The 22,642-nt window shown below is 56.3% G+C and overlaps 1 protein-coding gene across 17 annotated transcripts in view, besides 2 other annotated features; it reads right to left on the minus strand.

Moving 5' to 3' along the window:
* The window catches only part of SYT7 (synaptotagmin 7), a 74,674-nt gene that overhangs the window by 45,004 nt on the left and 7,028 nt on the right, over window positions 1–22,642 (minus strand). For 8 of the 17 annotated variants that reach the window (NM_004200.4, NM_001252065.2, XM_005274384.3 and 5 more), the window contains exon 1: window positions 22,073–22,359. The exons of the other annotated variants lie outside the window; for them this stretch is intronic. In NM_004200.4, coding sequence (NP_004191.2) covers window positions 22,073–22,103 — 31 coding nt within the window. In that variant the 5' untranslated portion in view covers window positions 22,104–22,359. Of the gene's footprint in view, window positions 1–22,072; window positions 22,360–22,642 lie in introns of those variants that run through there. 17 annotated transcript variants of the gene reach the window in all.
* Window positions 22,380–22,469: a silencer, noted in NCBI's record as "silent region_3394". NCBI's record gives its function as "represses an Ori minimal core promoter by ATAC-STARR-seq in GM12878 lymphoblastoid cells {active_cell/tissue: GM12878}" and the evidence as "EXISTENCE:reporter gene assay evidence [ECO:0000049][PMID:35858748]".
* Window positions 22,490–22,639: a silencer, noted in NCBI's record as "silent region_3395". NCBI's record gives its function as "represses an Ori minimal core promoter by ATAC-STARR-seq in GM12878 lymphoblastoid cells {active_cell/tissue: GM12878}" and the evidence as "EXISTENCE:reporter gene assay evidence [ECO:0000049][PMID:35858748]".

A 22,642-nucleotide genomic window follows, 5' to 3' on the forward strand; every position in this document is an offset into this window, starting at 1 on the left:
AAAAGACCCAAGTGTGAGTACCACCTCTGCCTCTTTTTTGTTGAGACGGAGCTCTGCTCTTTTCACCCAGGCTGGAGTGCAGTGGCATGATCTTGGCTCACTGCAACCTCCACCTCCATGGTTCAAGCAATTCTCCTGCCTCAGCCTCCCGAATAGCTGGGATAACAGGCACCCAACACCACACCCGGCTAATTTTTTGTATTTTTAGTAGATATGGGATTTTACCACATTGGCCAGGCTGGTCTTGAACTCCTGACCTCAGGTGATCCATCCACCTTGGCCTCCCAAAGTGCTAGGATTACAGGCATGAGCCACTGTGCCCAGCCCCACCTCTGCCTCTTAACAGCTGTGTGACTTTGGACAAGTGTATTAACCACTCAGTGTCTCCCACGGGGTTGCTGTTAGCACTCAATAGATGGGTAGTATTAGTATGGTTGTTGGTGTTTGTTTTATCTCAGGCATAAACAAAGGACCCTGGGAGCACAAATGAGGACTTTATCAATCTTGTGGGACTAGGGAGCTATCTGGGAAGGCCACCCTGAGGAGGCGGTGTTTGGTGTAGTCTGAAGATGGAAGTGAGGCGAAAGTAGGATATTCCAGGCAGAGGGAAAGGCATGGAGGTGGGAAAAGTGTCAGGCACATGGCGTGAGGAGCCGGACTTAGGGTATGGGGAGTGAATTCAGGGAGACCAGCCTGGAAGGAAAGGACGGCCTGATGGGGAAGGGGCTTGTCTATCCAGCTGAGGGGTTTGTTTTGTTCTGTAGACCATGGGAGCCATGATAGGCTTTTGAGCAGGGGAAGGATGGGATCAGAGGGGTGTTTCACAAGCTCATGATCTGGTAGCTACAGTAGGAAGCAGCTGGAGGTCACAGCCACACTCCAGGTGGGCTCCTCTGCTCTGATGCCCTCTCCACACTCCCCCCTCCCCCATACACCTCTTTGCCATTGGGAATTCTCCAAAAGGTCACCTTCCTGGAGCTCCCTCCTTTTTTGTCAAACAAGATCCTTCTCAAAAACCATCCTCAACCCCTGCTGCAGGTCAGAGAGTCCCTAGGGACAGAAGCCTGTCGATCCCAGAGTCCAGTGGGCACACTCTGAAAGGTCCCCAGAAACCCAACAAAACACCCATCTTAAGCAATTAGCATTCTGTGGGCACAGCAGAATAAGCCCTAGGTTTGGGGTCTAGGAGAACTAGGCTGAGACCCTAGTCCAGCTGCTAACCAGCCATGTGGCCAGCAAGACACTTGACTCTTGGATATCAGTGCCTTCATCTGTGGAAGAGCTGACCCTGACCCTTCCCCACTCAGAGGACAAGCCAGGTATTCCAGGTGCTCCACATGCAGTCACAACGACAACAGAGATAAGCATTATGAGTTGTCCCCATTTTACAGATGGGGAAACTGAGGAACAGAGGGGTCAAATACCATGTCCAAGTTGAAAGCCGGGGTTTGAACTCAGGCAATCCGGCTCAGATTCTATACCCTTTGCTTTGACATCACACCAACTAGAGGTACGTGGTTAGTTTTCAAGAGGTAGTCTTTGGAACCCCTAGGGTTGCCTGGAGTCTCTCTGGGGCTCTGGGGAGTGGAGGCTGAGCAGATAAGGCTGTGATCCCTCAAGCCCTCTTCAGCCACAGTAGCACTGTTCCTGTCTGTGTTCTTGAGCTTTTGCAGAATATTCCATTTGGAGAAGGGGTTGTGTTGCTAAGGAAAGTTGAACTCTTCTGGATGAGTGGCCCCAGGGTCCCCTACAGTGTGGGTGGCTGCTGTCATCTTCCAGGCAGTTGGTACGGCCCCCACAGATTTCCCAGACCCTTCAGCCTCCCTCGGACAGCCCTCAAAGGCAGGGTGAAACAAACACTTGCCACTGCAAATTGCATTGATGTTGTGAATAATAGTGACATGATGTCCTCGGCCAGCATGCCGACATCCTAAGGAGATCCTAAGGGGGATGTCGCCATCAAGGGGTGCAAGCATGTTCTCGCCTACCAGCCAGAGTGAACCATTCCCTGCATATGGAGTCACTGTGTCTCCAGCTAGAAGGGACCTTGAAAGTCATGAAGTCAGGCCCCAGGGATGCACAAAGCCCATGGGCAGCCCTGTTGGTGACAGGGAGCTTCTGCAGGGAGCAGAAGGCAGGAAGCAGGTCCTTCCTGGACGGGCATTGTTAGGGAGGGCTGCTGTACCTCTCGCAGAGCCGAATCTGTCTCCCCAGAACTTTCCCTGCTGGTCCTGAGCCTGCCCTCCAGAGCTGCCAGGAACGAGCTGGCTGCCTCTACCACATGACAGGCCTCCAAATCCTTGCCGACAGTTCTAATGTCCCCTTCAAGTCTTCTCCAGGCAAAGCCGCCCCAGCCCTCTAACCCCTCCTCAGATGACATGCATGGTTTCAAGTCCCCTTACTGTCAGCATATTAACACTGGGGGAAAGAAAATTTGGAGCCCTAGTCAGCCTTTTGACAGGGTTGAGTGCCACAACCTATCCTGAGGCAGAGGAGACATCCTAGGTCCCGGCGGGTAAGGCACAGCATAGACAAGGGCAGACAGGCAACATCAGGAAACCTGGAAGGCAGGGTGAACCAGGAGCTAGGCAGAGCCAGATCTCCTAGGTCCAATGCCGGGATGTCTTGGGAGTGAGGTATGAGCTGGGGCAGGCTGCTGCCCCTCTACCCAGGCCTGTGGTAGGCATATCAGCTGACTACAGCTCAGGATGAAGGGTCTAACTGAGTCCTGTGTGCTTTGCTGGGTCCTGTGGGCACAGCCTATGCTCCTGGCCATGCCACCCCCCAAGGAGATCTCAGGGTCAGGTCTGTGTACCCCAGGAAGCGGCCTGCTTCTGAGGGTGGACAAGATGTCCATGCACAGCCTTCCCTTCTAGCATCTGGGCAGGGCTTGGTCTCTTGTTCACCACTGTATTCCCAGCACCAACGGTGGAGCATTTAATAGGTGCTCAATAAATGCTTATTGAAAGAATGAAGGAGGAAGAATCCCAGGCCTCCAGGAACAAAGATAATAATAGGTGCTACTATTTATTAAGCACCTACTATATGCCACACTACAGGGTCCACAAAGAAAGGGGCTGTATCTGCTTTGCTCACTCCAGTATACTCTATGACGAGCTCGGCGTCTGACACACGGGGGGTGCTCAGCAAATATTTGTTGAATGTTCAATGCTTGTATATGTTATCTCATTTGTCACCCAAATAAGATGGAAGAGAAGAGATGGGAGAGGCTGCAGTGATGAGATGGGAGAGGCTGCAGTGATGAGTTGAGAGCTCTCTTTTACAAGTGTGTGTGCGCGCATGCACACACACATGCATGCACACACATATGCACACACACACACACACACGCACGCACGTACACACACACACATACACTAGGACCCCTTCTGTTCTTTCCCCATGCTCAACTTTGCCTGACAAACTCCTGATTTTTTTAGGCCCAGATGAAAAGACCTCCTCCAGGAAGCCTCCCTTAGTCTGCCCAGTGGGAATTAATTTCTCCTGCCTCTGAGTTCCCAGCATACTGGGCCTACATCCTTCTTTTAGAGAATAGTGATTAGTGCCAGGCCTCTGAAGTCAGATTGCTCATGCTTAAATTCTGGCTCTGATTCTTCCAAGCCATGTAACCTAATCTCTGTGTGCCTTGGTTTCCCCATCTGTAAATGAGGGCTGATAATAGTATAGTCTCATAGGACTATGGTGAGGTTTAAAGGAATTAGCATGTACAGTGAACTCAGCACAGTGCCTGACACGGAATAAGTAGGCACTAAATGCTAGCTATTATCATAGCATTATCACATCGTGCCCTGGATTAGTGATATCTGGGGCACGGAGTTGGCACTCAATGGTGGTAAATGAAATACTGGATTGGATACACTCTAGTTTTCTCCACAGGATGGCAGAGGTCAGAGGTCACATATTACTCAATTTTGTGCACCCCTGAACCCTCCCAGGACCTGCAGGGCTTGACCAAAGCAAGCATCAGTGAGCACCTACAGTATGGAAGAGGGAGGGCTAAGGCATGGGGACATGGGATCAGGGGTGACAGCTGGAAGCCAGGCTGGGCCTCAGGTGTGAACTGCCGACCCAATCCGGTCCCTTACCAGGGCTCAGCCCCGACTCCCAACTCCTTCTCATCTCCTCAGCAAGATGATTTATGGATGAACAGAATCAAACAGGGCTGCTGGCTGCTGGGATGCCCTGGGGAGCTGCAGGAGAGGGAATGGCTTTCAGAGGGCAAGCTCACCAGCTGCCCAGAGGGGAACGGGAGGGGGTGCCGCAGGAGCAGTGGGCACATGCACACAGGCCACAGACACAAGCCACAGAGACTCACCCTGGCACAGACACCCATGCACACACACCCATGGCTGTGGCCACAAGCAGATGCCCAGCCAGCTCCGCCATTCATGAGTTCTAGGCATTCACGCATTTCCTCTAGCCTGGAATTCTCTCCCCATGAATTTGCCATCACTTGTCTACTCAGATTCTGTCTGTCCTTCTGAGGCAGAGCAGTGGGATATATTGTAGACATGGAGGCAGATGACCTGGGTTTACGCCCCAGCCCTGCCCCTGGCCAACTACGTTACCCAGGGCAAGGCCCATGCTGGGCCTGAACACTTTACCTTCAAATGATGATCATGACCCCTAACCTCCCCTGCTGGGGAGGTCACCATCAAATAATAGCTAACATTAGTTGAGTGCACACAATGTGGCAGATACTGCGCCATGAAGTTTACATGCACCATCTCCACAACCTCGGACCATTATTATCTCCATTTCACAGGAGAAGAAACTAAGGCATGGGGAATAATAGGTGCTTGAGCCCATCCTTTCCTGCCCAGCCACAGTGGCCTCCCTTTGAGCTGATGAATGTGATGGCATTCTATAATGTGCTAGACTGTACAACCTAGCCACACTTTCCTCTTTCCCACAAGCAGGCCAACCCTTGTCACACCTATGATGCTTTGCCTAGGCTGTTCCTTCTTCCTGGAACGCCTTTCCTTCTCTATCTTCAAGGCAACTAGACAAAGATGGTCTCCCCTCCTACAATCCTTTCTGCCTCCCTAGTAACTATGACAATTAACTATTTTGGGTTAATAATTAGCTCTTTCTGTGTCCTTCCCCAACTGGGAGCACCTAGAGGATTGAGACCCCCAGCTCACTCAGCTTTGAAGACCAAAGTCTGGTACACAGGAGAGGTTGGAGAAGTAATTGCTAAACAAATTCATGAAATCATTCAAGGTCTCAGATAAGCCCACCTCCCCCAAGAAGCCCTCCCCAATGACAGGCACTCATAGCAGTCTCTTCCTTCTCCAAACTTGAATTAATGGATCCATTTGTCAACCCCCTTTTCTTGGGGATAGACTTGACCCCCACAAGCAGGGGCAACAGGATAATATCCTGTCTCCCAATTGCTCAGGGTCTCCCACAGCCTGTAGCCTAGGTCAAGGTACAGAGAAGCTGCTGGACATGCTGGGAATCTGTGCCTATAGGCTCTTTCCCCCAGAATTCATGTGTGCATGTGTGCTCACACTCTCAGATGGTGACATGCACACTCCCCACACCCAGCCCTTCCAGAGTTGTTCCATCACCCGCAAGCCCTCCCAACCTAGACTGCTTCTGCTCCTGGAGGCTCTCACAGGCATTGACAGGTCCCAGGCCACTGCTCTTCTTCCCAAGTGTCTTTCATTACAGTAACGAATGTATGCTTGGCATTGAATCATGTCTGCAGACTTCAGCACCCCTCTGAGGGTAAATACTCTTATGCCCATTTTACAAAGAAGGAAACTGAGGCTCAGGAGGGTTAAATGCCTGCCCAGGAACACGCAGCAGAAGAGAAGTAAAGCCAGGATTAGACTGGAGGTCTATAAGACCTCAAACCCTGTGGCTCTTACTCTTGTTCCACCCTAGGGGAGCCACGCCTTGAAATCAGACACTCTGAGAATAGACAGAAAAGAAGAAAGAACCTGAGTGGACACAAACGACAGTTACGGAAAGGGCTCCCACCCTCCCAAGAATTTTACCAGTTAGAGCCATGCCCAAATTACCCCAGGTACTTCAGAGACTCCTCTGACACACACACCTTTTCTGGGGCTCCTTCCCCCATCCACTGGCCCAGGCATTGGCCTCAGAGAAGCACCCTCAATAGATAGAGTCTCAGCTGGCCTCAGGGTCCCAGGACAGGTTGGGGGCTGGGTATCTGGCACTGGACAGTCTAGGAGTGGGAAGAGGAGGACAATGGGGTGTCCCAGGGACTTGCCCAGGGCTCTATCTCTGGTACTGATCAGGGTGCAACCACTACTCCGGAGATAAAGCAGAGTGCTGCTGGGGGTGGTTGGGGCTACATCTGCCAGCACGTCCCCATCCTGAGCTTGCCTCCTCCCACCTGATTCTGCAATACACGTCAAGCCCCAGCACTTCCCCACCCCCATCTTTTGGTGGCTCCCGATGACGTTCAAGGTGGGAAACAGTGAAAGCTGGAGTCACAGGTTTCCATAGGAAGCACCCTCCATGCGCATGCTGAGCAGATGGAAATGGGGGAAGATGGCAGGCATTTACAAGTGGGCAGAGCTTACCAGCTCCAGGGTGATCTGGGCATGGAAAGGGGGACATTTTTGGTGCCTATCCTGCTTCCCTCCCTCCCCTCAACCCAAAACACACAAGAAAGCCAGAAAGAGGCAGAGTTGGGGATAAAGGAAGAGAAAGCCAGTGAGCTAAACCCTGCACCCCAGACAACCAGGCAAAGCTCCAGGTCTTGCCATCTTGCAGAATTTCCTGACCTCTTTCCACTGTAAGACTCTCCCTTCCAGGCCACCCACCTGGGGAACAGGGCCAGCTCTTCTCTTGCAAGAGGAAAAACAAATTGAGATAGGCGAGAAGGAAAAAAGAATAAGGAAGGGAGAACACCCAGCACCTATTTCCCAGAAAAGCTGGGCCTTGGACCTACCCCCACCCCATGCCCTCCGGACATTCTCTGAGTGTCCTTTGGAAAGCCCTGGAGGTGCCCACAACCCCTTGGGCTTCACCCAGGGTGGGAACTAGGCTAGCAAAAGAGGAAGCCCAAGGGGAATTGTTTTGGAAAGTTACAAGTAGCTGAAAATGGGGGCTCAGCACGAGCAAGCTTCCTCAACCTTGACTGTAATAAAAACAGATAATGTGTGAGTGAGCTAGGGAGAGTGCGCTGGCTGGGGCCGCAGAGGCCGGCTAGATGCAGACGGTTTAGAATTCAGAGGAGATGCCAAGTGAGTAAACAGTGAATGAAGGATTATCTGGATGGGCCAGCAGCCGTTCCGGCAAGAAATTGGACAGGGACATGTCGGGATCCACAAGCACTCCTACTCCTCATCAGAGAGCGAGACCTGGTGAGCTATGAGGACCTTGTCCATGCCTTCCCTACCTCTGCTGTCTCTTCCAGTCGAGACATGGCCTTGGTAATAATGGCTCACATCTGTACAGTGCAGAGCAGTTTATAAAGTGTTCCACAGTTTACTGAGGGTTTCACATGCATTATTGAATTTAATGGAGGTGATGGTATCTTCTGCTCAGTGACCCCCTCACCTCACCTCACCTCACCTCACCACAGCCACCCCTACCTCCCACAATTCCTGGCCTAGGGAGGCCTGGTGCATCTGGCTTCAGTATTCAGCCTCAAAAGAGGAGGAAGGGGAGACTGGCCATCTGTAGACCCCAGAGAGCTGCTAAGCCCAGAAGTCATCAAGGCCAAAGCCATTCAGGATGGAAAGGGCCAGGTGCCAGCTCTGAGCTGGGAGCCCAGACTGAAGAGTGGCTAGCCAGGAGTTAGCTCGGAACCTGACACACTCCCCACCCACCTTGATCCCAAAGCTGATGAGCCACCTGAGCAGCTGTGAAAATGATCACGTCTGTCAGAGCAGCAGGAGCCCAAGAAAGGAGGGGCTCAGAATGGGGAGGGGGCTCTTCACCGGGAATGCGGAGCAGAGGCAGGATCAGGGACGTGTGATGATTAAGTGTGGGCCTTGACCACTAGTTACTCCTATGAATAATGCATTGTTGTGCCTTGGCCTAAATCAGCATCTTATTGTTATTAATAATACACGCTGCAAAGAAGCTGGGGTTGGAACTGTATGCTATGTTTCATTTGAGGATCTCAGAGCACTTAAAAGCTCCTCATGCTGATGACTCAACTTTATCTCCCCGAGTCATAGGCTTCCTCACGGGCCACCTGCCCGAATGCCCTTCCACCTGAGGCTTGGAGCCGTGAAGGCCACCAGAGCTAGAAATCTTCCATCCTGGGATTCAAATCCATGGCCAGGGCTTATGGTTGGGGAGGGGAGTGCATTTAATTTTTGCAAGCTCAAAGGCTCCTGGGGATGCAACATAATGTGAAGCTCCCAGAAAGGTTTCAGGACAGAGATAACTAGTGGGAATCCAGGGGCGGGAGAAATGGATAGAGAGACCACTGCGGATCTGAATCCTGTTCTGTCACTTCCAGTTGTGTGACCTCAGGCTACTCACTCAACTCTCTGGTCCTAAGCCTCCTGGCTGGAATGCAGGGTCTAAGATTCCCTCTACGAGATGCCGTTCTATCATATTCAGGGGTATCATTTACACGGCAAATATTAGGATGGAGCCATTGAGCGCCCCGCCCCCCAGAGCTGTCCAAGGTGCTGAAACAGCTGTCGGCCACGCGGCTCCTTGTCCTTGGTGCTGAAACAGAACTCAGTCCTGGGGCTGCGCCCTCTTCCAGGTCGCCCTTTGCGCAGCTCCCAGCGAGCAGGATCCGAGAGACTGTGCATAGTGATTCCGCCTTCCTCTGCCAATGCCTCCCTGATCAACCCTCAGCTGAAGCTATGGCAGCACCCAGTGACCTCAAGAGCCCCCTTTCCTCGAGTTAGGTCCTCGGATGCTGAAGACCCCAGTCCTGACTCAGGACAAAAAGGGCCGCCCCGCGAACGTGGTAAATACCACGCCCCATTCCCTCCCGGGGGCCCGCCGCACTGCCTCCTGGTGGCTGGCGCGGGCACTGCACCCCGGCGGGCGCACAGACGGTCCCCAGCGGCGGCCTGGGCCAGCGGCGAAGCAGCGGCAGACGGTTCTCCGGCCCCCGCCGCCCCCTCACCGCTCCCGGGGCAATCTGGCGCTCAGAGCTTGCGGCGTTGCCCGACACCCGCACACTCCAGCCTGTCTGACTGCATCCTGGCCGCTTTGGGGCTGCCTGGGTCACAGTGCAGCCTCAACCCAGCTGGCCAGACCTGGGGCAGGCAAAACTTCCTGCTCCCTCCTCCAAGGTGGGTGGGGAAGGCTTGTTTAAACAAACACCAACCTTTCCTCTGTGGCAGGGCCAGTCCCGCCAAGATGAACACAAAGGCCTCCCCCAGGGCAGAGGCTCCACACCTCTCCCCCACCCAAACAAGAACTTTGCCCATACCCGCCCCAGGAAAAAGTGAGGGGTTGCAGGAGAATGCCATAACTGCAGCCCACTCCTGTTCCCCCACCCTACAGGTGGGGCTCTTTGAAAGGCAGATCTGCTTGGTGTTTCTAGGGGCTGCTTGATATGAACCTTACTGGGTTGTAGAGATTCTCCCCCTTCCAAAAACAAAAAGCAAAACAAATAATACCACGTGAAAAGCCAGCACCCAAAACCACAGCTTCTCTGGAGTCAAGGGAGTCAAGATAATAGCCTTCAATTACAGTAGACATAGCTGGTATGTATCATTTATTGAGCACTTACTGTATGCCAAGCACTGTGCTAAGAGCTGTGCAAACATGATCTCATTTAGCCTTCCAGCCACCCTGCCTCCCCAGGAGGGAGCATCATGCTCAGCCTCCTACACATGAGGAAAGTGAGGATCAGAAAGGGAGGTGACCGCTCAGGCTGGTGCAGCCAGCGAGTGCTGAGACGGGCATGGGAGAGTGTATCCATCTGCCCTTACTCTTGCCATTCAGCTGGATCTACCTCATCATCCTTCCATGTTCTAGAGGCCACACTATGCCTCAGGTTTCTCCAAGACCACTCCAGCCCCCCACCATCCTCACCTCTTGGCTGAGAGCCACATGAAGGAAGAGAGTAACACCTTGAACTCTGTAGCACTTTACAGCCTGCCAAGTGCTTTCAGAGCCACTGTCTGAATTGACCCTCATGATCTTGAGGGGTGAAGTGGGCAGGGATGGCCCTGTTCTGATTTTGTAGGAGAGCAAAGTATGGCTCCAAGGAATAAATGGCTTGCCCCAAGTCACACAGTGAGCTGTGGAACCAGAACTCAGGCAAAGACGGTGGGACACCCAGTCCAGTGTACTCTTCCCACTTCCCCAAGGCTGGGGTGCTGGGGACAAGCCAGGCAGGGAGTCCTAGGGGCTTTCATCTCCTGAGGGGCTTCCTGAGGCCATGACCTGGGCTGCTTCCCCACTCCTACTCCCCGGGGTCCATTGGTTGGCTCAGCTTTAACTTGGAGTCTCGGAGTCTCATTCTAAATGAATTTTTTTTTCCAGGCAATTACCTCCTGCTAATTAGGAGGCAGGGCTGCCAGTCCCTCGGCCCTGGACTGACCCTTTTCTCAACCCACAGAGGGCAGGGGGGTTGTGGAGGTACTGGGTAGCAGCTCCAGCCACAGAAACTGCCTGGGTCAGGGTTCTGTCAGGGCAGGGGATGCTGATGGAGGAGCAAAGAGCTCCACAGAACTGGAAGAAGGGAGGCAGGGATGCTGGGGAGGGAGGGACTCTGAAGTGGGAGAGAGCAAGGGGACAAAAAGCTGGAAGGAGCCTGAACATGTCCATGCAGAGTAAGTGAGAGAGACCTGGGCTCTGGGGCAGCAGAGGGAGCCAGGAGGAGCCAGAAAAACAGGGACACATCGCAGGAAGAAAGGAGGAATCTCAGGAGCCAGAGAGACAGGAAGGGGTAGGAATCTCCCCTCTATGGAGAGAGAGGAAGTGAGAAGGTGCCCCAGAAAACGGTCAAGATTACAGAAGGGGCAGAGGCAGAGAGACAGATACTGGAAGACTCCAGGAAAGGGAAGGGGAGAGGAAGGACAGGGAGGAAGGAGGAATTGCTGAAGGAAAACCCCAGGGAGAAGGGGGAGGAGAGCGGGGGAGGACGGCTTGGAGTGGCAGCTCCCAGAGCCCCAAGAAGGGCTTTCTCTACGTCATTGTCCTTGAGCTTCCCCCAATGTCAGTGCCCAGCCAGCTGGGCCTGCACACCCTCCTACGCAGCCACAGGTGCGGGCGGGCATGATGGCAGGCCACCAGCCGGCTCAGGCCCCAGATGCTCCACTCACCCGGGGCAGCCAGCTGACCTCCCTCCCTGCCAACCTGCCACCCCCTCGAGTAGGCTGAGCCAGGGGCCCTCCTGGGCCACACAGCAACACGACCAGGAACTTCTGGGGCTGTGTCCAGCCTCTCCACTTTTCAGAGGGAGGATCAAGGCACAGAGAGGAAACAGTGCCTGTCCAAGGTCAAGTGAGTGATGAGGCCAGATGCAGAGGGCTCAGGGGCTAAGTCCTACTGGTGGGTCCTGTTCCCTTCTGGGCGATGGGCAACAACAGGAGACAAAGACAAGTCATGGCTGCCAGCAAGTCAGTCCTGATCAAAGCCCTCTGGAGTGTGGGGTGGCAGGCAGAAGGGAGTGAGGGTGGCCAGAGGCTGGAAGGGAACCAAAGGAACTCACGTTTGTGGAGCACAGGGTGAGAGGGTTCTGCAAGGGTTATAATTGTAACAAACATTACTGAACACTTACTAGATACAGTGTGCCAGCCACTTAAGACATTACATGCAGGATCTCATTTGATCCCAACAACCCTAAAAGTATGTGTCACTATTATTCCATTATAGGGAAAAAACTGAGACTCAGGAGGGTTGGGTGACCTGGCCAAGTCCACACAGCTAGCCAGAGGCATGGTTCTGACTCATGCAACTGGTCATTTTGAGGCCACTGCCCTGAAGACCCCTCAACATTATCTGAAGATGTGCAGGTCCCTGAGTTCCCAAGGTCCCAGAACAGCCCTGGCACAATCTAAGCCCCAAACTCCAGTAGGACTGCAATCCATGAGGTCCAAGACTTGAACAAGCCCTGTCTTATGGCGTTAGAGTCTGGTTTTTAGTCTTGGTTCAGCCACTAACTTACTGTGTAACTTTGGACAGGTCACTGTTCCTCTCTGGGCCTTCATGTTCCCACCTGTACCATCAAAGGGTAGGACCAGATAAGAAGAACTACTACGTACATAGTGATAACTGTGACAGGCACAGTTCTAGGTGGTTTACAGATATTAACTCATCGAATTTTCCCAACAGCCCCATGACGGTGCTATTATTCCCTCCATTTTACAGGTGGGAAATGAAGCACTGAAAGGTTAAGTCAGTTGCCCAAGGCCACAAAGCAAGTCAGCACAAGGCACATCTGGGATTTGAGCCTCATTACTTTTGATCCAGAGCCCCTGTGCCCTGGCCACCACTCTGCATTCTTTCCCTAAGAACCCTCTCAGCCCCTGCTTGGCGCCCCAGCGATGTGTGCCCATGTGCCTCTGCACAGACACACCTACCATCGTGTTTCCACATGGGAAGCACACACACAGTCATGCATCTGCATGAAGTGAGGTGTGTTAGCTCATGCTCCCACACCCACTCCTGTGCCTCCACCCAATTTCTACCTGAAGTAGCCAGGCTGGGTCACATATGTCCACAAGCATCCCAGCACCAGAACAAGCTGACTCTAGCAGGTCCATGCACACACACACATATACACGTGTTCCCGTCTCTGAGCAGTGGTTGACTTGTGGGGGCCATGTGCCATGCTGCAGCACACAGCCATGTGGCAGTGACGTGGGCCACCACACCCCTTCTCCTCTGCTTCCTTCTAGTGCCTGGGTGGCTGGCACGTCACATCCCGCACCTGCCGGCACCCCCATCCACACTGCCTTCCTCACGCCTCTCCCCTAGCAGAAGCGGGCACCTTCTCCAGGAAGGAAGCAGACTCAGGCACAGCCTGGCTCCCACGGCCCAAAGATGCCAGCCAACCTGGGGGTGGAGAGGGAGAGAAAGGCATCAACTGGAGGCTCCAGGGGGCCTGGGGTCCACAATGGCTCCTATCTGAGACTAAGCCCTCCCTTAGGTCTGAGTGCCAGAGCTGAGCTCTCAAGACCCTCGAGACACTGGCCCTCTCTGTCATTGCCAGGTATGGGGTCAGATGGGGACCCTGGGGACAGAGGGTCTCCCATCATTCCTGAGCAGGACTGTGTTGCCACCTGGGCTCCTCTGACCAAGTTACCATTGCACCCTTCACCACCCTATCCCCGGTCCCTGCTCTCTCCTCCCCCTGCCCAAGCATCTTAGAGTTCTGGGTATTTTTAGGCCTCAGCTGACAGGCTGTGAAATCACTCCCTTCGCACCTCCCCAACCAGGCGGGGGCTGGAGAGGGAGGAATGAGGTTGGGGGGGGGGCACACAGACAATTCATCAGGCTCCTCCAGGGCTGGCAGGTGCCAAGGAGGGAGAGAGGGGTTCCTCCCCTTCTCCTGAGAGCCTCCCCCATGAGTGAGAGGATCCCTCCACCTTGCCAGTAGAGAGAATGGAGACAGGGTAGGAAGGAGACTCCCCTCCACTCCAGGAAGAACAAAGGCTTTAGGGGATACCCTAGAATTAGAAGAGGCACTGGGACACCCTTTGAGTCCAGCTCTGCAGCCAGTACCAACTCGTAGTGCTCCCTTCTGAGAGACGGGCTGAGAGACGGGCTGGCTTAGAGCCTAGTAGGATAAGGAGGCACCAGGCAACGTAGCCCAGTGGTTAAGACCCAGGCTTTGGAGTGAGGCCGACTTGCAATCTTATTCCTGCTCTACTGAGTGACCCGGGCAAGACACTCAACCTCTCTGAGTCTCCGTTTCCTCATTTGCACTGCAGTGAATTGGATATCTCCCTTGCAAGACTGCTGTGAAGATGACATAACATGATGAATGGAAAGAACAAGGTGGTCTGTGGACCCACCAGGCACCACTGGGAGCCTCTCCCTTGCAGCTTTCCCTGACCTTCCATTTCTCCTAGCTGCCCCTTCTCTGGGCTGGCTTTCTCACTGCAATCTCCAAGACAGGAGCCCACAGTTCATCCTGGCGTCAGGGCCCTTGGCACCCATCTGACCCCCACTCAGGGGTAACAAATTTCCAACTAAGGTGGGTAGTCAACACAGATGGTCCCCACCTCCCTGCTTCCTGCTGCAGGACACACACACATACACATCATGTGTGCATACATACCCAAATGCCAACATGCATGTGTGCTGCCAGCGCCTCAGTGTGAGGGCGTTTGCCTTGGGATGACCCCCAAGGGAAGTGGGAAGACATAACCAGGCCCCGCTGTGAATGGGTCCCTGTGCCAGTGGCCGTGGGCATGGAGAGGGGGGGTGGCCCGTCTAGTTGCCATGGAGACAGGTTGGCTTTGGTGGGGCTCTGGAGCTCAGGCCTGGCAGCTGGAGCAGGAGCTGTGTGGCCCCTCCTGGGCCTGGCCCTGATGCCTGGGGGGGTTATGTGGGTACAGAACAAATCCTCAAAAGGACTAACTGTGTCCACAGGGCCCTGGGCCTGCCCATCTTGGCTCTATATCCCTCACTAGGGAGGCTTTCTCTGATACCCCAGGCACCTGGGAAGCCCCCTCAGGGTGTTCATTCATGCCCACCTGCATCCGGCTACCCCCTTACTGCCTATAATCTGCTGCAAGCTTTCCAAGGGCAGGGGTCCAGGCTGGCTGGACACTGCAGATCTCCTGGCAGAGGTAGGGACAGATATGTTAATGGCTGAGATTCTAGCTCCATCTACCCACCTGCCTCCTGACTTCCCACCCTCCACACTACCGTGCTGTCAAAGTTCTTTATAGAGATCTGCTCAAAAGCCATCCATGGCACTCCATGCCTTACTTTTTAAAAGAATTTCAGTTTTCCTATTTCAAAATGCCAACTCCTTCATAATCTGGCCCAACCTACCTTCCCAAGCCTCACTTCCTGCTACTGTGCCCCAAAGGTCTCCCTTCTGGCCATGCTCAAGCACTCCCTGCTGCCTCAACCGGCCAAGATCCCTCGAACCTCTGAGCCACTGCATGTGCTGTCCCCACCTCACCAACTGCCTCACCTCTGCTCGCTCACATGGCAAAGCTCTTATTCTTCCTTCAGGACTCAAGGCCCTGTATCTGAAGCTCACACCCTTAGGTCTGGCAGCGTGGCTGGAATCCCAGACCTACTTCTAACTGCAAGTTCGCACTTCCCAAGGTGGTTCTGAGGATGGAGGCGCTAACGCATGTTATGTGCTTAGAACAGCACCTGGCACATAGTGAGCACACAACATGTCTCTGCTATTCTGATGGTAACCTAACTGACACTGCCTCCATGAAGCCCTCCCCAACTCCTCCACCATGGAGGTAGCAGGCATGTTCTCCTTGGAGGATCCAGAACCCTCATCCCACACATCAATTGCTTGGTACAGGACAATGTTGAGAACAGCTACCGCTGGCTGAGTGTTTACTATGGGCTGGCTCTCTGCTAAATACTTTTTCTGCCTTATCTCACCTCATCTTCCAACCGCCTGGGAGGTAAGAACCATCATCATACCCATTTAACAGAAGAGGAAACCCAAGGCCAGAGAGGTGGGCTGACCTGCTCCAGAGACAGAGCAGCAAGTGTCTCTGCCAGGATTCAAATCAATAGCTGTTTGACACTAGAGCCCTAGCTCAAGCAAGCTGTCCCTGGAGGCACATATGTAAAGTGCTCAGCACATACTGAGTGCTCCACAAGGCTTGCTATTATCATACTATTGTTATTATCAGGGGAGGACACAGGATGTGTTTGGTGACCTGAGACGGGATTCCTTAAGCTGGTCCCTCTGCAAAGCACAAAACCCCCATTCCTGGAGAAAGTGTTTCCAAGGGTCCCTTGGCTGCCATCCCTGACCCCCATCCTTGGATGGGGGTCAGGGATGGTAAGGAGGTGTGCAGGGAGTCCCAGTATCTGGACGCGGGGCACTTCCTCTGAGGGGTGCTGGAGCAAGCAAATGCTTGAGGGGGCCCTCCCGGGCCCAGGCCTGGCAGAGCGGGAGAGAGCCTGCTATGTGCCAGCCATGCTGGCCGCCGCTCTCTGGCCTCGCTGACACCACCCCATGGTAATGAGACGGATCCAATTTGTACCCAGGGCCCCGCCGGGAGCAGCTGCCGCGGCAGGGTTTGAAGTAATTTAATTGGACACATTAGCTGCATGCTCTCTCCTCCACTCCCCTCGTGCAGAGCCTCATGCAGGCGCCCCTTCTGCCTCCCACCCCTCATGCCACCCTGCCCTGGCTGGTGGCAGGGTGCATGCTCCACCAACCAGCTAGGACTAACAGGTAGGCACCGTTCCTCTCTCATTCCTGGGGCTCCTGGGGGCTCTAGAACCAGAGGGCTCTCTAGGTCCCAGGTTCTCCCCAATCTCTGATGCAAGCAGCAACTATGGCAGCCCACTGGGGCTAGAGTTCAGACCTCTCCCTCCCGTCTCCTACAATGGGCAGAACAGTCACCCCCCTTTCTCCTTCAGTCAGCCATGGAAGCCACCAGCCTTCTGCACTCCAGGAAGGACACCGAAGGAGCAGGGCCAGCAGCATATGCCTGTTTTACCAGCATCTTTGGTTTTGTCACTATTAGGGTTTGTCACTATCAGGGTCACTACAGAGATGATAGGCAGCCCTCCTCTTAGGGCCTGGGGAAGCAGTGCATACACACATGCACAGACCAGACCTAGTCACAAACACACAGGCGAGATCAGTTTGACCCAGACACATACACACATACTAACAGCCCCACACCGTCATGGAAATGCTTGTATCTTACACATGAAAGCTCCCATGATCACCCCCGTCCACACCCATGTATGCCACACAGCCAGGTAAGGCCCTGCTCCGAGCAGACGAGGCCTTCATGGCCATGCCAGCAGGTGGGAGGGTGTGGCAGGGGGTAGGCAGGGTCCCTGGCACACAGGCCCTGCCTGGCCAGGTACAGGGCCGGGGGAGGGGCCCTCCCCTAAAGCTTTCCGTCATAGCTCCCCACGCACCTCAACGCGCCTCGCTACAAATACACTCATTAGCTGCTGTTTACAGCGGTCCTGGCACTTCGATAAGCACAGATATTATGGCCATCCAGCTGCCACCCGCACACACACTAGGTACACATACAGACAGTGCCTCTCCCCCTGCCTCCGCCCTCCCCTTCCACCCGTGGGCTCAATCACATGAAGATACCAATTCCCCAAACATGCAGCTTTGCAGGGGTTCCAGCTCACAATACCTCAGCTCCCGGTCCATTCTATCCCAAGGGGTCCTTCCAGGTGGAGGCTGCAGAGACTCCCCAGAGCAGGCCGGATGCACCTGCCCGCCTTCCAACCAACTGGACCTGGAATTCCAGGCCAAAGCTCTGGGCACAGTCCAGCCCTTTCCACAAGTCCCATGCTGTCTGCCAACTCTGTTCCAGCCCTTGGGGAATTCTGCTGGGTGAGACCAAAGCCCTGCCCTGCAGACACTAGTTGGACAGGGCCCAGCAGGGCTGCCCCTGCTGCCTGGAAGGTCAGGGACCTCCATGCCCACGGAACTGGCAGAATTCACCTGGCATCACCAGCTGGGGTTCCCTGGCAAGGCAGGCAGGCACCCGGGCTGGGCCTGGCACAGGCTGGTGCCGGCACCTGGCCAGACCAGTGACTGCCCCGACGAGAGAAAGTTGACCTCTCGGCCACATATGCCACCTGCCGGGCACTGTCTGTGGAGCAGAGGACCAGCTCTATACAGGGCTGCCCATGCCCACCTGTGATGCCACAGTGCTCTGAGGAGCCATCAAGCCAACTCATTCTCCAGCTGGGGGTCATCAGCTCCGGACTGGGCCTCCCGCCCCCACGTGACCCCTCCCAGCTCTTCTCCCTGCTGTTCTTCTGTTCTTGGCCTCACTCCCCTGGGGGAACCAGTTATTGAAAACGAAAACGGTCCATCAGATTCAATAAGGATTCAAAGTCCGTGAGAGAATAGGGGGTGGGTGGGGAGTAGGATGGGGGGACTCAGGAGGGGCAGGAGGGGGAGGGAACCATATACGGCTCCTCTGCCTGTTCCACACAACATCCTGCAATGGCCGGGCTAGAGGGTGTAACAAGGAGACAGCCCCCACTGGCACTCCATGTTGCCCTCAATGCCCCTTAAGCCTGAGCTTGGGGTCAGCCAGGAGCAGAACCCAGCTGCCCAGGGCCTGTCTTTGCTCACCCAGCACCCACCTATTGACCTGCCTTCCAGCTGTCCCCTTACCTGTCACCTACTGGCCTGTACGTTCCCACCTCAATCCGGCCTGCTCTAACCCCCTCCCCAGTATGAGGAGGGGCTTTGGGGCTATCTCCCTCCCCACTATGCCCCAGCCCTCAAGCGGGCAGCTTGTTGATCAAGCTTCCCTGCAAGGCCACAGAACAGTGTGAACCAGGGCCCTGGAGGGGGCCTGTCTCCATGGTAACACAACAGCTTGGGGGCACTGGCTACCCTGGCCCATGCCCCATTGAAATCATCCTCACCCCCTCTGGGTTTTAGACTTGCCCAGCCTCAGGTCCTCCACTGTGTCCTGGCCTGTGGGGAGATCATTCGATCTTCAGTCCGGACTCTAACTCAAGCCCAGGATGCAGGCCAGGGAGGCCCGGGCATGTGCCGATGGGGCAGGCTTTGGGGAGGTAGGTGGGAGGAGAGAGGTTGTTGGTGAAATGGGTGGACACAGTCAGGCCTCCTTGGACCTTCCCACACTCCAGCCCTGGCCTCTAACCCAGGTGTTCCTCAGGGCATACCCTTGATCTGCCCTTTCAGCCACACCCCTAACTTCTGCACCTCCCTCACCCGCCATCAGCCTCTTCCCCTAACTTGTGCCCAGTGACTGGAGGGTTGGCCTGGACAATCTAGTGGATCCTTCACCTTGAGAGAAGAGGCCCGCTGTGCCAAGGCCCCCTGCCCTGCATGCTCCCAAGTCACGACCTGCCTAGTGGAGTGTCTGTAGGGAACAGAGCCCACTAACAGGTGGGACAAAAGAAGGCTTCAAGCACTACTACTCCCAGGGACAAGCTCACAGAGGGCTGGGGGCAGGGCAGGCAGCCTTCAGGACCTAACCTCTGTCCCAGTGGTTCCCTCTCTGGCCTTGCTTACCAGCTCACTGCAAGGTCACCTCTCCCTCCCTCTCTCTTTTCCTGCCGCTGTCCTGCCTGCCCACTGCAACGCTGACCCCTGCAGGCCTGCTGGGGCCTGCCTGGCCTGGGGACAAGCAGTCCGAGAGAAACAGGGACTTCAGGATGAACCAGAGGGTGAAGGCTGAGGGCAGGAAGAGGCCGTGAAGTCTGGGAGGGGGCAGAAGGGAGGCTGCAGGTCTGGTCTAGGGAGGCTGGACAGAGTGTGGAGCTGGAGCCTGGGTGTGCATGGGAGGGGGCTGGTCTGGGTTCTTCACTGGACTCCGATTATTTCCCACAGTCCTTTTCTTCATTCACAATAGATCAGGGAACCAAGGGCCTGGGGGCCTGAGGCCCAAGTAGGGAGAGAACCACACCTGTCAGGTAAGGTCCTCACAGTAGCTGAGCCCTTAGGGACCTGCATAGTAAGTGGGATGAGGGAGGGAGTACCACAGGGATCTTCTGGAACCAGCATGAGGCAAAGGGGAGCAGGAGAGGACAGATTTTTTTTTTTTTAAGGATTGGGCCGCAGGTGTTCCTGAGAGTGGGATGAGAGGATCAGGATATAAAAGGCACTGGCCCCTGGGAGACCAGAGGGGAGGGGAGGGGTGGCCTGAGTTACACATAAATCAATTTGCATATCTCAGTACCAACCAGTACCAGCCAAGGGGAGATGGGGAGGCAGAAATGGGGGACACAGAGCCCTGGCTTGGGGAGCTGAGTCTAGGGAGCCTTGGGGGAGCTGGGGGGAAGGGAAATCTGACCTGGAACTATAGAGCCTACAAAGGTGGGCAGGGATGCCAGAGGGCAGAGGCCAGAATGAGATCTTTGACTCCTCAAGGACCCCAGATGACTAGGCTCAAAGGCAGACTGTGCCCTCTCCAGCCTATGTCTGACCCCACCCAGCCCAATGCCCACACCGGAGAGGAGTCAGCCTCAGGCCAGCCCCTTTCCCAGTCACAGCTGCCCTACCACAGGCACTGGTGGGTCCCGCAGCTGCAACTGGGGTGGGCAAGACAGGTCCCAACTGCAGCCAGAGAGGCCCATTCAAGGAGGGGGTGAGGGAAGAGTTGAGGGCTGCCAGCACACCAGGGATGGTACTGGACTCCAGACCCTTTGCCTAGAAGATGCCAAGCACGTCAAGCTGGCCTCCGTGGTGAGGGCAGAGGTGCTTGGAGGAGTGGTGATGTCATGGTGCCCAGGCATGGGAGGAAAGAGGAGGGAGGGAGAGGGGAGAGGGCACAGCCCCAGGCCAGTGGCCTAACAGGCCAGAGGGGAGGCTGCCAGCCTGGTGGGCGAGGGGATGGATAGTGTCCTTATTTCTTCCCTACCTTCCATCCTCATACCCCAGAGCTGGCTTCTGAACTAAGCTACTGGCTTCTAAGAAGGTGAGCAGAGCAAGAGAATACTCCTGCCACGGGCCATGGGCTGGAAGCCGGCGGCCTCTTCGACGAAGATGCCAGGGTAGGTGACCTAGGTCCAGACAGATGAGGGGAGGGCTCTCCACAGGCAATGCCCCTTCAGCCCTCACCTAGAGGACATTCAGAGAAGGGCGCAAGGTTCCAGAGAAGGAGACTGAATCTCTCACCCTCATATCCAAGTGCTGAGTGAGGGCAGTGCCTGGCGCCCAGTGGGTCGTCCTCAATATCGACTGGACTGAAAAGAATCGATGGGGGGTGGGAGCCGATTCCTCAGGAGGCAGGGACAGGCTGAGGCTGCCCCTAGAGGGGAAAGAGCAAATGTGGGGCTAGGGCAACAGTGGGCAAAGCCAGCACCCACTGGACTGCCTTCAGGAGCCTCAGGGCTGCAGGCTCCTTCTGTGCAGGGTCTTAGAGCCCTTCCTTCCCTACAGCACCGCCGCCCCCAGGAGGCTGGCAGGAGGGAGCCTGGAGGCTCTTCGTTTGGGAGCACATCCTGGGCTGGGGAGTCGTGCTTTTAGCATCAGAGAGAAGCCCAGAAACAGACCCTGATGCCAGAACTGGCAGACTGGGGGTGCTGGGACTGGGTGGAGCACCCCAGGTGGGAGCGGGGATGGAGCCTGGGCAGGAGCTGCAGGGGACCTGCCTACAGGTGGGCACTGGGTGAGGAGGCATCAGGAGCCAAGGAGGAAATGGCAGAGCAATTTCCGAGGAAGACGGGAAGATTCTTCGGCTTTGGCTTAGAGGATACCAAGCAGACAGTGGGCTCCCAGGCCACTCCCCTGGCGGGCGAAGCAGAAGGCAAAGGAGTTCGGCCCTCCCCCACCCCAGGACGGGAGAGAGTTTGGGGTTGTTTGCTTCCCCCTCCCCAAACCTAGGAGAACATTCTCTTGGCACCCCCATTCTCATGAGCCCCTGCTCTCTTTCCCTTCAGGCACCCCCGTCTCACCCATCAACGCCCCTGCAGTTCCCCACCCCCCAGAACCTCCCTGCCCAGCTGCCGCACCAGATTCCCACTTGCCCCCTGGCACCCTCTCAATTCACAGTTGGCACTGCGATGCCACTCCGCTCCCCTGTGCCCGCAACCTTGGCCAAGAGCTGCCGGGATCCTCGCCCTGGGGTCCGCCAGCGCTGGCACCCCCGGGGCACCGGTGCTGGGGAGCCTCGGGTGCCTCTGAGGGCACTGCCCGGCTCCCACAGGGGCAGCGGCTCCTCGCTCCGCCACACACGTTGTCCTTGGGCTGTTGAGGGGTGGGGGAGAGGTCCTTGTGGGGACACTGCGAAGCCGGTCCCAGACATCCAGCCTGGCAGTGTCCAGACTGCGGGGGACCGGGGTCCGAGCCGCTGCCGCTCGATCCCGCGCCCCCGGGGCTGGGATGACCCCTGGGGGAGCCCGTGCGGCTCCGGGCGGACAACAGCCCCAGGCTGGGGCTCCGAGACGGCGTCCGGCGCTGCCGCTGTCCTGCCCGCCGGTGCGGGGCGCCCCAGCCCGCCGGGGCCGCGCTTACCTGGGCTGGCCGCCTCCGGGTCCCGGTACATGGTCCCCTCGTCGCCGGTTCCCTCCGGGCTCCTCAGAGCCGCCCGCGGCCGCGCGCTGCTCCGCCGCCGCCGCTGGGCATGGGGCCGGGCGACCCCCGGGGGCGGGTCCGAGGGCGGGGGCCGAGCGGGCTGCACCTAGCCGCGGAGCCGGGGAGCGGGGGCCGCCCGCCAGCCCTCCCGCCCGCCCGCGGAGCACGCTGCCGCCGCCGCCGAACAGCGCCGAGCCGCCTCCCTCCGGCCTGCGCGCCGCGTGTGCGCGCCGGAGCGTGTGTGTGTGTACGAGGCCGTGTGTATGTGTGTGTGTGAGCGCGTGTGTGAGCGCGCCCGGGGCACCGCCGGCGCCGCCCGCCAGCCGCCGAACGCCGCGGCCACAGCCACCGCCTGCGCCCGCTGCCGGCCGCGCGCCGCACTGCACCCGCGCCCGCCGCCGCCCGAAGCCGCCCCGAGGGCACGGCCGCCGCCCCGCGCCCCGCCCGCCTCGCAGTCCCCGCGGGGAGGGCCGCCGAGCCCCACGGCCGGGCTCGTCCGGCCAGGGGATC

This window comes from Homo sapiens, chromosome 11, assembly GCF_000001405.40.
Source record: "Homo sapiens chromosome 11, GRCh38.p14 Primary Assembly".
NCBI lineage: Eukaryota > Metazoa > Chordata > Mammalia > Primates > Hominidae > Homo > Homo sapiens.